The sequence below is a fragment of the Homo sapiens genome, chromosome 6 (genome assembly GCF_000001405.40).
Source record: "Homo sapiens chromosome 6, GRCh38.p14 Primary Assembly".
NCBI classification, from domain to species: domain Eukaryota; kingdom Metazoa; phylum Chordata; class Mammalia; order Primates; family Hominidae; genus Homo; species Homo sapiens.
The window spans coordinates 157,110,849-157,124,383 of NC_000006.12; the positions used below are offsets into that span (position 1 = coordinate 157,110,849).

A 13,535-nucleotide genomic window follows, 5' to 3' on the forward strand; every position below is an offset into this window, starting at 1 on the left:
GGTCTAGCTGTGTAAAAATAACTGTGAATGACTCAACTAGGGTATCAGTCCCAATGTGTGTGTGTGGCGGTTGGCGGTGGGGGGTTGTGTGTGTTAATACTGGTTATTCCCTGATATTTAATAGTAAGATTTTAAACCCAGAGCAAGACCCTGTCTTAATAAATGGTAAGATCTTAGAACTGGAGCAGACCTAAAAGTTTCTATGGCCCAGTCACCTAAAGCAACTGGGGAGTGTAGCGGTTAGGTGTGACTTCCCTTATTCTCAGGAGCTAGTTAGTGCCAGTCCCAGAAAAAAAGAATATGGGCTTTTCCAGAAACCTTTGGAGAGAAGTGGCCCCACATCTGCCAGTGCTCTTGACCTTTAGCTCAGTCCTGCCTGTCATCCCTGCCGTGCATTTCTTAACTGCCTTGCAGAGACCTTAAGCCCACCCATATTTACCTCTGTCTTCATTATCCCTTGGAGTAGGAAAGCTACTCTTGGTGGTGGTGGTGGTTTTAATCCAGATTGGTGTATTCTGGAGGTACAAGAAGCCTACCTGTGCACCCCTGGTGCGGTGGCAGGTCACTTCCCTTGCTGTGGGGCAAGGCTTGTCTGCTCCATCCCACAACAAACGAGAGAGATACCGCTGTCCTGCACTCCCCTCCTCTCTCACACAGGCCCAGAGGCCAGAAGTTCCTACCTTGGCAGCTAATATGTACTGGGCTCCTGACCCCTACTGTTTATAATTATTTGTATATGAGTTGTAGAGATGATGATTTGCTTCTGATTAGAATTATGAGGTTTAAGTTATTTTACATGTTACAAACTCAGCAACATGTTTAGAAACTAATGTCAATGAAAAGATAGATTTGCTTTCTCTACATATCATTTGTGTTGAATGTTTCAGAGGGATAAAATGAATTTTTCATTTTCTAATACCATTACATATATATATTATAATTTAAGGTATAGTCGATAATATAATGTTTTAATAATGGAATAGTTCATGGTTTTTAAACTTCACAGTGTGTGAGAATCACCTGGAGGACTTGTTAAAAGAGATTCCTGGGCCCCACCCCCAAGTTTCCAATTCAGAAGGTTTGAATTGGGACGTTTTAAACCTCCATTTTTGGCAAGTTCTCAGATACTGCTGATGCCAGTGGTTTGAGGACCATACCTTGAGAACCACTGCCTTCTAATAGTACAATAATAGGTTTTTGAGGTGGGAGAATCACCTGAGCCCATGGAGGTCGAGGTTGCAATGAGCTGTGATCACACCACTGCACTCCACCCTGAGCAACAGAGAGTGAGACCCTGTCTCAAAAAAATAAAAATAGATTTTAATAATTGTGTGAATATGTGGATTTGTTTCCCTAAATTCTCTACTGTGACCTGCTCCAAATCATCCTTTTATCCCATATCATCTCTCTAAATTGCTTGATCTGTGTTAACTCCTCATATGGCTCTGGTCATCTTGAAGGCATTATAGAAGTTTATAGTGTACTGGTGCCAAGCAAGCGTGATTCTTACTAAAATCCTTTTTTGGTTGTGAGTTGCACCTGTGTTGTATTGTTGGGTCACTGTGGGGAAAAAGGAAATTGTCTTGCACTGGGTGCCTACTCGGGTCAGGCAGAGAACTGAGATGAAGATTCACCCCATAACCCTGTAACATCACTCTCACTGGTACAGTTCTTTTTATTTTAACAAGTGTTAAAGGGTAAAAGTTCCCTTATTTGAAAGTCTTAAAATTTTAACCTTTATTACTAAGAAGAAAACAAAGAGAAACCCTCTCAGATCCTTGAACAATGTCTTTCCCAGCCCTTTCCAACAGATACGTGTTTGGGAAATTGGGCAATGTAGAAAACCAGATGTGAAGAACAGGACAACAATTAGGAAACTTAGCTAAATCAAACTTTTAACTTAAATTGATCCACTTTCAAGGCAAAATCTAGGCTCTTTAGTGGTACCACTGTATGGAAATTACCATGTTAATATGATTATTGTTTTTCCTTCGATTGCCTTTATTATATGTAGTGTAGTTTGGGTAACTGATACCAGGTACATAACAAGCTGGGTGGTTATAATGACCACTTCTTTTTTTTTTTTTTTGGAGATGGAGTTTCACTCTTGTTGCCCAGGCTGGAGTGCAATGGCACGATCTCAGCTCACTGCAACCTCTGCCTCCTGGGTTCAAGCGATTCTTCTGCCTCAGCCTCCCAAGTAGCTGAGATTACAGGCATGTGCCACCATGCCCGGCTAATTTTGTGTTTTTGGTAGAGATGAGATTTCTCCATGTTGGTCAGGCTGGTCTCCAACTCCCGACCTCAGGTGATGTACCTGCCTAGGCCTCTCAAAGTGCTGGGATTACAGGCATGAGCCACCGCACCCGGCCATGACCATTTCTTTCAAATAGTAAATATAAATTATATAAGTTGCTAAATGTGAATTGATTTTTATGAATGTGATCTCTAAACCTCCTCTGAAAGACTGTGAGAGACATTATTATATTGTTATAGTTTGTTTTCACACTGCTATAAAGAACTACTGGAGACTGGATCATTTATGAAGAAAAGAGATTTAACTGACTCATAGTCCTGCAGGCTGTGCAGCAGGCATGGCTGGGGAGGCCTCTGGAAACTTCCAGTCATGATGGAAGGTGAAGGCAAATTTAGCACATCTTACATGGCAGGAGCAAGAGGAAGAGAGCGAAAGGGGAGGTGCTACAAACTTTTAAACAACCATATCTCGTGAGTTCTCATGAGGTAGCACTAGGGGGACGGTGCTAAACCGCTAGAAACCACCCCCATGATCCAATAACCTCCCACCAGGCCCCACCTCCAACATTTGGGTGGGGACACAGTTCAACATGAGATTTGGGTGGGGACACAAAGCCAAGCTATATCACTGTACATTCCCTTTTGTGTGTGTGTGTTGGTTAGGCAACACCCTGAAAAGGAAAACTTTCTATTTTAAAATGACTGTTACGTTAGAAGATGCTTTGCCTTGCATGAGTGAAATTTCCTCCAGCACTGGGTAGCAAGGCTTTAAAGAAAATGGCTTTATTATTTATTAAAACTTAGGAAGAAATGTTAGCTCCTAATAACCTTTGATCAAATGCCACCTGATCAGGTGTCTAAATGACAGTGACTTTAGTGCTTTGGCACAATAATAGAAACATCTGTTTGTTGGACCATCATTTGGTATGTACCAGCAGCATACACAATGGAAAGCAGATCTAAGAAAACTCTTACTAGGAAATTCCCCAAAATTCATTCCCCCATATTGGAAAGTAACTTAACTTTGTTTATACTCTTACGGTTGATATATACCTACCTTGTTTAGGGAAGTGCTGAAAGAAACAGGCCAAGAAATACATTAGTGAGTTAGTATCTTTTTTTAAAACGAGTATATCAGACTGGGCACGGTGGCTCACACCTGTAATCCCAGTATTTGGGAGGTTGAGGCGGGTGGATCACTTGAGGTCAGGAGTTCGAGTCCAGCCTTACCAACATGGTGAAACCCCGTCTCCACTAAAAACACAAAACATTAACCAGGCATGGTGGTGTGTGCCTGTAGTCCCAGCTACTCAGGAGGCTGAGGCAGGAGAATCGCTTGAACCAGGGAGGCGGACGTTGCCGTGAGCTGAGATCACGCCACTGCACTCCAGCCTGGGCGACAGAGCGACACTCCGTCTCAAAAAAAAAAAAAAAAAAAAAAAAAAAAGGTATATCATGGAAACCATAGACCCTGATAGAAAAGGTAATGACATTGCTTCTGTACTGCTGAGTGCTGAAATAACCACATTGAACAGTTCTGTTTACACTTAGTTTGTTTTAATAAATAAGATTCTGATAATATAGTAATAGTCCACCATATACGTACTTTCTTTAATGTACCCACAGGAGATAACATTTTCTTTAATGGCACGGAATCTAGAAACACATTTGCACAGAGACAAGAGATGATGGAGAGTGAGAGATGATGCAACCTACTTCTCTCTAGAGGTGCAGTTTTCTGAGTTCTCCCTCCAAGTCCTCATGGGGCAGTGATGCTGGCAACACTGCCTTGGAGCCTAAGTCCCCCCAGTTTCAAGTAGCTGAACCCTTGCTCTGATCTTTCTTTTCTACTTGGTCCTGTGTTCCCGTTCAGGAAGAGCATATGTTAATAAACCATGTACCCTGTGTGTCAGAGGTTCTGCAAACCTCTGGTGACAGCAAGGTCAGTGAAGTGCCCAGCTTTCCTGACAGCAGTCCTTTGTAAACCTGCAGTCCCCGTCCCCACCCCATCTCTTTTTCGGTGCCCATTTTATCTGGTGGTTTTGGTATTGAGTTTTGTCACAGGACATCAGTCACAAATCCATTTCCCCACATTGTACACAGATGAAAATAACTGTGAGTTTCTACAGTTGATATTTTCTATGTATAGAAGGTATTTGTGCAAGTAAATATGGATATGGCATCATAGGTTACAAATGGAGGGAAAACTTTAGATATTTATTGGGCTCTCTACTCTCTTACATAGTATTGCCTCCTCTACATCTTCTGTTTTCCAGTATAAAACTTGATTTAGTATTGTGCTGCTGGAAGTTTTCTTTGTTTGTTTGTTTTGTTTGTTTTGAGACAGAGTCTTGCTCTGTGACCCAGGCTGGAGTGCAGTGGCGCAATCTCAGCTCACTGTGAGCTCCGCCTTCCGGGTTCACGCCATTCTCCTGCCTCAGCCTCCCGAGTAGCTGGGACTACAGGTGCCCGCCACCACGCCCGGCTAATTTTTTTGTATTTTTATTAGAGATGGGGTTTCACCATGTTAGCCAGGATGGTCTCGATCTCCTGACCTCGTGATCCGCCTGCCTCTGCCTCCCAAAGTGCTGGGATTGCAGGTGTGAGCCACCGCACCCAGCGGAACTTCTTTTTAACTAAATAAAGAAAATTAGTTCAGATTTTTTGGCCTTTACTTCTTCATTATGTACATGAATTTTAAAGAAAAACAGTAAAAACCTCAGTTTAGTATTCTGTTGTAACACATTTGCCATTGGTTTTTATTTTAAACCTCTCTGTAGACCTCATATGGCAATATACAGAAATGTTACTAAATCACCTTGCCAAAAAATCAAGCAGTGTAAATTAGGCCACCAAAGGCATTGGAGGAACAGTTCAGATAACCTTAAAATACTGAAATGAATCTTACAAAAATTGTAGGTGACCAGTTCACATTTGTTTTATCCTTATTTCTTAATCTTTATATGTCTTGAAATTCAAAAAGAAAAATAGGAAACGGCTTATTAATAGGTTGTCCTCTTAGGAAGTCTTGGAGGAAATACGGAATAGTCATCTGAGTAGATAAATAAGTATAATAATTATTAACATTAAAGTTACCACATTTTTAACCCCAGTGACACGTTAAGCTTAATGAAACTAACAAATGCCCTTCTAGTTTATTGGATTAGCAATTAGGTGAAAATGCTGAAAGAAAGCTTATTTATTTGGACAGATGTAGAGAGGTCAAAATTAATTTTTCGAAAACCTTCTAATTGAATTCCCTTTTAATTTCACAGTGGTGTCTAGTTAAACATTCATGTTAATGCCGGTGATTTTCTGAAGGTCTGAACTAGATCTGGATTCCCAAAATCAACACAGGTTATTTAACCCTTTTTATCTAGTAAGCCAGCAGGGACTTTCCTAGTGTAATCCCATAGTATTTGAATAATTAGAAGGTCATAATGAGGATTTAATTAGTCCTTGAGATATGCTGAAGCAGAACCCCTAGGAACTTCCCCTTTCGGACACAGATGCAAGCAGAATGGATGCTGCTCCAGGACTGTGAGCCACGAGGAAATGTATTCTGTTGCTGGAGGCAGTTCTCTGGCACCATTGTGTGGCCATCAGATCGGTGCTGAAAGCATCTTAGGTGAAATCTTCCAGAATTACTGAATAACAGTCCCCCCAACCTTCATTTCTGCCCACTTTCCAACCTACACAAGGACTGGCTTTTCCTCTCCACTGTTGAAAAAGAGGAGTTGTAGTCAAAGCACGCTGTACCTGATTGAAAATTGGCTTTTGCTTTATCAGCGACACCAACATTAGGTGAGCTGGGCGAGTTGTGTATTTTCTCTATAGTTCTATAGAGAAAATAGATAACAAAATTTTGTGTTGTTCTAAGCCTCTGGTATTTTGTCCAGCCAAACATAGAGATCTTGACAGCTGTTTGTCAGCAGAATCACAAAAATCTCATCTTTGGAATCTGATGTTCACAGAGGAATATTTATCAGTAGCTACATTTTTGCAAATACAGACAGTGCCATTACCCAGCAAAGTGTGTAGCAGATGGGGCATGATCAGGCATTTCAAGGTTCTTTTTGCGTACTACTACAAAAAGGTGAATCAAAATTTCTATACTTCAAAAGTCTGAGGTTTCAAAATTACATATTTTGTTTAGACTGAATAGTCTTCATTATTGAATATTTCATTATTCAATATGTCTTCATTTTTTATATGCTGCTTCTGTTATTAACCCCGAATGTTAACTGCCTTGGTATAATTTTATTCCTACTAATTAATGGTATATTTTAGCTTCTTTACAAAGTCTGAGTAGAATTCCTTATCAGATTTCGAGTCACATTCTATTTGCATAGTGCACACCTTTTGGCTGCGGGCACATCTTTCTCTTACCTTTTCCTGCAATCAGGGGAAAAAGAATGAATTCAGTGTCTTCCTATGAGTTCAACTGAGCTTCCCCAGGGCCTGCATGGCCCTCGGTGTTCATCCCCTGCCAGGGACCCCCATGTCGGCAGCAGGCTGGGGCTTCACAGATGCTCAGCAGAGACTGAGCCAAACAACTAAAGCCATCCAGCTCTCACACCCTGTCAAAGCACAAGACAACCGAACTAGAAAATCTTTATTGTTTGGAATTAAGAAAGCTTACAATTTTACCAATAAATACTGTATGTCATTTGCTGTAACACAGTGTTTGTCCCTCTGAACTCACTGTTAGTATTTTGAGCTTACACAAGATTAAAGCTACTGCTGCTGCTCCCCCCTGCCTCTGTTCTTCCCAGATGCATTTCCATGACTGCACAGCTGTACTTACAGTGGGTGTCAGTATGAGCCATAGCCCTTGCACCTGGAGCCTGGCACTAAATGGATTGTGCTGAGTCCCCTCCCCAACCCCAGCCGTGCTCTTTATGACCCAGGGGCATTTAGATAGAAATATGTAAAATTTTGAAAGTTTTTTACTGTTGTCAGCTAGTTTTATGGTGATATTTATACCAAAAGTTATTTTTTAAATGTGAAAATTACTCTTGAATATCTGAATTGACCTAATTCCTTAATATTCAAGAATAGATTAACAAGTCAGTACTGAAATGAAGGAGACCACCCGGATAATTGTTAAGGAGTTGGAAGTGGGGTTTGATACTTTTTTCTGTTTTGCAACCTACGGAAACCGTGTTGTTCTTCTTTCTATTGGATTCCCGGTTGTAAGTGTGACAGTAGATCTGCAGATGCTGAGATGTATCATAAGATATACTGGTTGTCAGAAAATATTCTCTTAATCTACCTTTCTAGTTTTAAAGAGTAAGTGTATCATTTTCCTAATGTATGCTGTGTAAGTTTATAGATCACCCCGGTAGGGCATCAGCAATAATCTACCCTCACCCCCAGATGCAATTAACTTAGCCTCCACTCTTAATTGAAGATCCCTTCTTTGTGATGTGTGAAAGATGAAAATAAACTCAAATGGGAGGCTTTATACAAAAGAGAATATCTAGACACCACTCTGGAAAGCTGCTTCTAATTTCTTCAGCCTCAGAACTCTGCCTCTGTGCTAGACTGTGGACCAAGCCAAAGCTAGTCAGTAATGAAGGCAGTCATGGCACAGGACTTGTGTCAGGTTTATCATTAAGTTCCTTTTAAGCCAGCTATCCAGAAATAGGTTCATCCCAAAGCTGGGAAAACAAATGTCACACACAATAGGAGTCCATTTATATTCATTGAGGAAGCATCAGTCGAAGTTTTAGAACATTTTAAAAGAAGCATATTTTGTTACTTTTGTTATATGCAGTAATTTTTTGAATTGCCAATTAAAGTGGGCTTTTAATACTTAATACTTATTTGTAATTGGCTCATTATTCTTCATTGAAAGTATTTGAGAACATCTGGATCTTAGGTAAATTCATGGATTTATAACAACACTTTTTCCTGTTCCTTTTGTGTTTTTTCTGTCTCAGTGAAAAACCGTTGTCTTTTTCCAAAGCCAAAAATTCGGAAGCCATCCTTGATGCGTTTTTCTCCCCCGTCTGCCCCAAACTAATTAGTCACCAAGTTCCACCAACTCTTCCCCAGTAGAGGTTCCCACACACCCCTTCTCCATACCCACTATCACCACTCTAGTCCAGACACCTAGTTAACCTCACAGCCTCCTCGCTGTTCCTCCTGTCCCCAGCCTCATGCCTTTGAGATCATATTCCACCTCCTCAGACCGGTGAGAGCATGTCATTCCTCACCACCTATGCCTTTAGTCACTTGCCTGTGCCTTGGATAAAGGTGCACTGATCTGTGCGGTCAAGGGGCCTGTCCTTATCCAGCCCCGGCTTCCTTTGCTGGCCTCCCTGTCATCACACTGCTTTCTCTCTCAAACACCTGCCACACTGAACCTCTTGGGATCTTTATATAAACTCTTCTCTCCAACTGGAACACTTCTGCAGCCATCCCACCTCAGCTGCACCCCCACCACCCCTGTGGGTCTTCTTACCTGTGTACTTTGTCCTGATTCTTAAGGTCCTCAGCCTGGCTCTTAGTAGGTGCTTGAGTCAGTGTTTGTTGGGTGAACAAATGAAGGAAGCATAACCAGTCACCGTGCTGCCCCTATGGGCCAGGCACCCTCTGAAGCAGCCCAGATGTGTACAGTGTTGGTGACCCATTAACAGCTGGGATTACAGTTGATTCACAGTTGAACTCTGTTCCAGACTCCAGAACTCTGCGAGTGGAGGGACCGTGGCCTTGTCAGTTTCAGAACTCCAGGGCCTCATGTTTTACCTGCTGCTTCTCATTTTAATCTGCAGGGACTTTGGAATCAGAAGATCTGGGTTTAGGTACAAGCTTTATCACTAACTAGTTTTGTATCTTTGGACTATTTGTGAAATGAGGATCATGGATATATTGCACAATTCAAATAAGATTTTGTATCTAACAGTAAAAACTGCAAAGCACCGTGAACATAGTAAATGTAAGATCAGGTTCAGATACCTCAGGTGAGACCTGGGTCGAAAGCCTTAAAAAGTAGTTTATTTGCTTCTCCAGGGCATAGCGACGTACGTACTTTGTCTTTTTCCTCAGCACTGAAGTGGACTTTTGCAGCTAAAACTTAAAGGATTTGTGTAAGGAATGACTGGATCTTCTGTCCCCATCTGTCATCTGGGTGCTCAGTCTGACCCCTCCCCGGACTCTCATTTGCCCAGTGATAGGTGGTATAAGTTGCAGGACCAGTCAGTAGCGGAAAGGAGTTTGTGGGGTGGATGGGGACAGCTTAGAGGTTGCTGTGCCCGGCTCCAAGTATCAGGCTCTGTGGTAGTGGGGAAGGAGAGGGAGTCGTTTTGCCAGTTAACCTAATAGCACAGCTGGTGTGGCGCGGGGGGCCTGGGTTAAAGCCTTGAACGGGCCATTAGTTCCTGTCTTCTTCAAAGTAGTTCATGTTGTGAAGAGAGGAAGGCAGGCAAATAAACACTGAACATAGTTAAATGTAACGAGAATATTTTTTTAAATCTATTTTTCTCTCCAAATGGAGATGTGACACCTATTTGTGAAGAGAAATGCCTCTGCCTGTCTTTCTGGGTGGAGACACCACAAAGGTGGCGTGGTATGTAACCGTGGCACACACACATGGCAAAGCAGCTTTTATTGAACTGGCTTGAAGAGACAGATGCCAACATGAAAATCAATTGTCCATGTGCCAAATGAAAAACGTGCTTGCTTTTCGGTGGCTTCTGTTGCCTTGGACGTCTTGTTGGTATCCTGACAATGCTGTAGTTCTCTGCTAGCTGACGAGGCACCTTTGATGAAGAAATTAAATTTTTCTGTAATTGATTTTGTGCTTTCCTGCATGGGCCTGGCCACGCACGCTTTCTGTGTTTGCTGATTTCTCTTTCATGGGTAGGATGAATGGTGACTTGGGTTTCATGCTTGACTCTACTTTTTCCAACAGGATTTAAAGTTTCTAATGCTTACATTGCAGAATTTGTTGTGTCCCATGAAGAGGAAAAGAATACACGATTGGAGGCTAAACAAGATCCATGTTAAAATTCCTCCCAGTTTTATTTCCCCAAATTTCCTAGTTTTGCTTTCACTTTTTATTTGACTTTGTTTCTAACTCAGTTTTGTAACACCCTTCAAACTTAGAGATATGTTTTCATTGGATGGTACTTTAACTGGACCCATCCCTGGCGATTTTGGAGCTTTGACAACATTGCCCTGTTTAAGTTCATGGAGCTTCATCACTGTTTCCTTTATGTCGTCTACCCCCAAATATGCTTTAAGGACTAAGTTTACTTTTAAAATTAAATACAGTTTCATTCTATTTTTGAAAATTTCTAAAGTTAGGTCTCTCTCTTATCCAGGGAAGAATTTTTCTGTATTCCTACTATACAAAAATATTCATTTTTTCCTTCTTTTATATAGAAGATGTGATTTGCTTATAAGGATGTCATAAATCAGTTTCTTTAATTTTTTTTCATCTGCTAAGGTTTAGAAAGCAACATTGGATCTTTGCTGTAAAGATTATCTCTTTTACAAATAAGAGAATCATATATAGCTTTTTTTTTTTTTTTTTTGCTGAGACGGAGTTTCACTCTGTCATCCAGGCTGGAGTGCAGTGGCGCGTCTCTGCTCACTGCAACCTCCACCTCCTGGGTTCAAGCAGTTCTCCTGCCTCAGCCTCCCGAGTAGCTGGAACTATAGGCACATGTCACCACGCCCGGCTAATTTTTGTATTTTTAGTAAAGACAGTGTTTCACCATGTTGGCCAGGCTGGTCTTGAACTCCTGCAAGTGATCCACCCGCCTCAGCCTCCAAAAGTGCTGGGATTACAGGCGTGAGCCTCTGTGCCTGGCTCGCATATAGCATTTTATAAACTAGGTAAAGTCTCCGCTAACCAAACCACAGATAGGACACTGCTGCAGAACACACTGGAAAGGTCTGGAAAACTCACTTATCTAAGAATAACACAGGGACATGTTTTAGAAATGCTAGTTTGTTTACCACTGGGTCTCAAGCACCTATGACAATGACTGGCTTGTCATTAGGCCAACTAGGCCAGTTTTGCAAGAGGGCAGTGAAGGGATTTCTTGTTTTTAATTGATAGAAGAAAAATGTCTCTTGGCTTAGTCTTTAACACAGGTCTCCATAATAGAGATTGAAGTAGCGTTTTTCCTAGACTTACGCGAACACTGCTTACATTGCCATGTAACAAGAATGGATTATTGGAATAGGAATTTTTCACTGATGCTAATATTACTATTCACAAGAGAATGCCCCTAAATAAAACAGTCCTTTCAAAATGCAGACTGAATGACTCCAGGGAATATCTTGGCAGCCCACCACTACCCCTGTCTTTAGCTATTAGATATACAAAATGTGGAATTCAAACAATTATCAAATTGTATTAGAATCCATTATCTAAATTAACACCATGTAACGTTGAAATGAACTTGAGGACAAGGGATTCGCCTCTTAGCATGTGGTGGAAACGCGCTTGCCCGGGTCGGGCTCATACCCTCACACAAGCTCTGGGGCAGCAGAACCTGCCAGGGCACCATTTCCTAGGCCAGGGTCCTGCGTGCTCTAACTTACAGCTAGAAAGGGAACAGTCTTCTCTTTTTTTTTGAGACAGAGTCTCACCCTGTCCCAGGCTAGAGTACAGTGGCGTGATCTGGGCTCACTGCAACCTCTGCCTCCCAGGTTCAAGTGATTATCCTGCCTCAGCCTCCCAAGTAGCTGGGATTACAGGTGTGCACCACCACACCCAGCTAACTTTTTTGGTATTTTTAGTAGAGACCGGGTTTCACCATGTTGGCCAGGCTGGTCTTGAACTCCTGACCTCAGGTGATCCACCCGCCTCAGCCTCCCAAAGTACTGGGATTACAGGCATGAGCCACCGTGCCCGGCCAGGAATAGGTTTCTTAGTTCAGACTGGTTTTCCTTTAACCCCCACAAAAAACCTAATGGGTTGTTTCATCCATTAAGACAAATGTTTATCAAGCTACTCACTGCCATGGGTGCTTGAGATCCCATGGTAACCAGAAGTCAGGGCCCTTCTCCTCACATTGAGAGTCTATTCAGATACTCGATGGGGATTTTGAGATCTTTCTCTGTCTCTGTCTCTGTCTCTCTCTCAATCTTTCTTTCTCTCCCCCCCGCCCCCCGCCCCCCCCCCACACACACACAAGCAAACTCTGGGGAATCTGCCAGATCAGGAAGGATGTATACTGCTTCTTAGGCCGCCCAGAGCTAATCAGTACTATAGCTGTTGGTTGAGTGGCCTAAAACTGACAAGCTGAGCTTTTCTGAGCCAAATAACATGGTCGGCCAATTATTTCTGGAACCATTTATCTGGAAGGGCACAGGACTTTCTGCATAGTGAGCTAAGTGAGGCAGGATCCCCCTCAGCTCTAGCTGGCCTTGTAGAGGAGGCGTGGGACAGGCAGGCCCAGCCTGGAGCCACCACTCCCTAGGGGCAGCCTCGGAAGGCGTGCCAGGAGGCTCACAGGTGTGGCATTGCACCTCCAGAGATTAACCACCATCCAAGGACTTGCAGCATTTTCTGGCTTCACTGATGAATGGTTTGTAGGGAAACCTGGCAAGAGAAATTAGTTTGGAAACTTGGAGTCAGGAAATAAATGGTGGATTGCATTAAAAATAATATGAATAATAGTAGCTATCATTTATTAAACCTCTAGTGTGTGCAAGCACTGAGCTGTGTGCTTTACACATTTTCTCGTTTAATCTTACAAGGTAGGCTCAGTTGTCATCCACATTTTTCAGAAAAGGAAAGTGATGCTTTGCAGCTACTAACGTGCCCACAGCTGCTGAACTAGTAAGTGGTGAAGACACGATTTGGCCCAGGCAGTTGGTCTGCAGAGCCCTCACTCCTCACAGCTTCGCAGTGGCTGTGGAGATGGACAGGGTGGATGCGTCTGATAGACATTTAGGCCATGGAAATAATTGTGCTTTCTGGCCTAGTAGACTCGTTTTTCTTCCTTGCCTTGCTGTCAGCTATCAGTTGTTCCTTCTCACAACAGTCCTTTCTTGGACAGCTGTCTCCTTTTCCTCAGAAATGATTCTTTGGAAACACCGTGAGATGAAGAACGAAACAATCCAATTTATTAAGCCACTTTTGTAAAGTAAGAGCAAATGGGTCTGAATGAAGATGGTTTATTTTTCACTAAGACCACATGTTTTTGGTTCTAACTCTATGCCAGATACCTTGCTTGGGCAGATGAGAGGAGAGTGTGTTTTAAAGCCTCCAGAACTTACAGTCTGGCGAGAGAAACAGTTGCACAAAAAACAAT

The 13,535-nt window shown here is 42.3% G+C and overlaps 1 protein-coding gene across 36 annotated transcripts in view; it reads left to right on the plus strand.

The window, feature by feature from the left end:
- Nucleotides 1-13,535, plus strand: part of ARID1B (AT-rich interaction domain 1B) — a 434,754-nt gene that overhangs the window by 334,823 nt on the left and 86,396 nt on the right. The window lies entirely within an intron of this gene.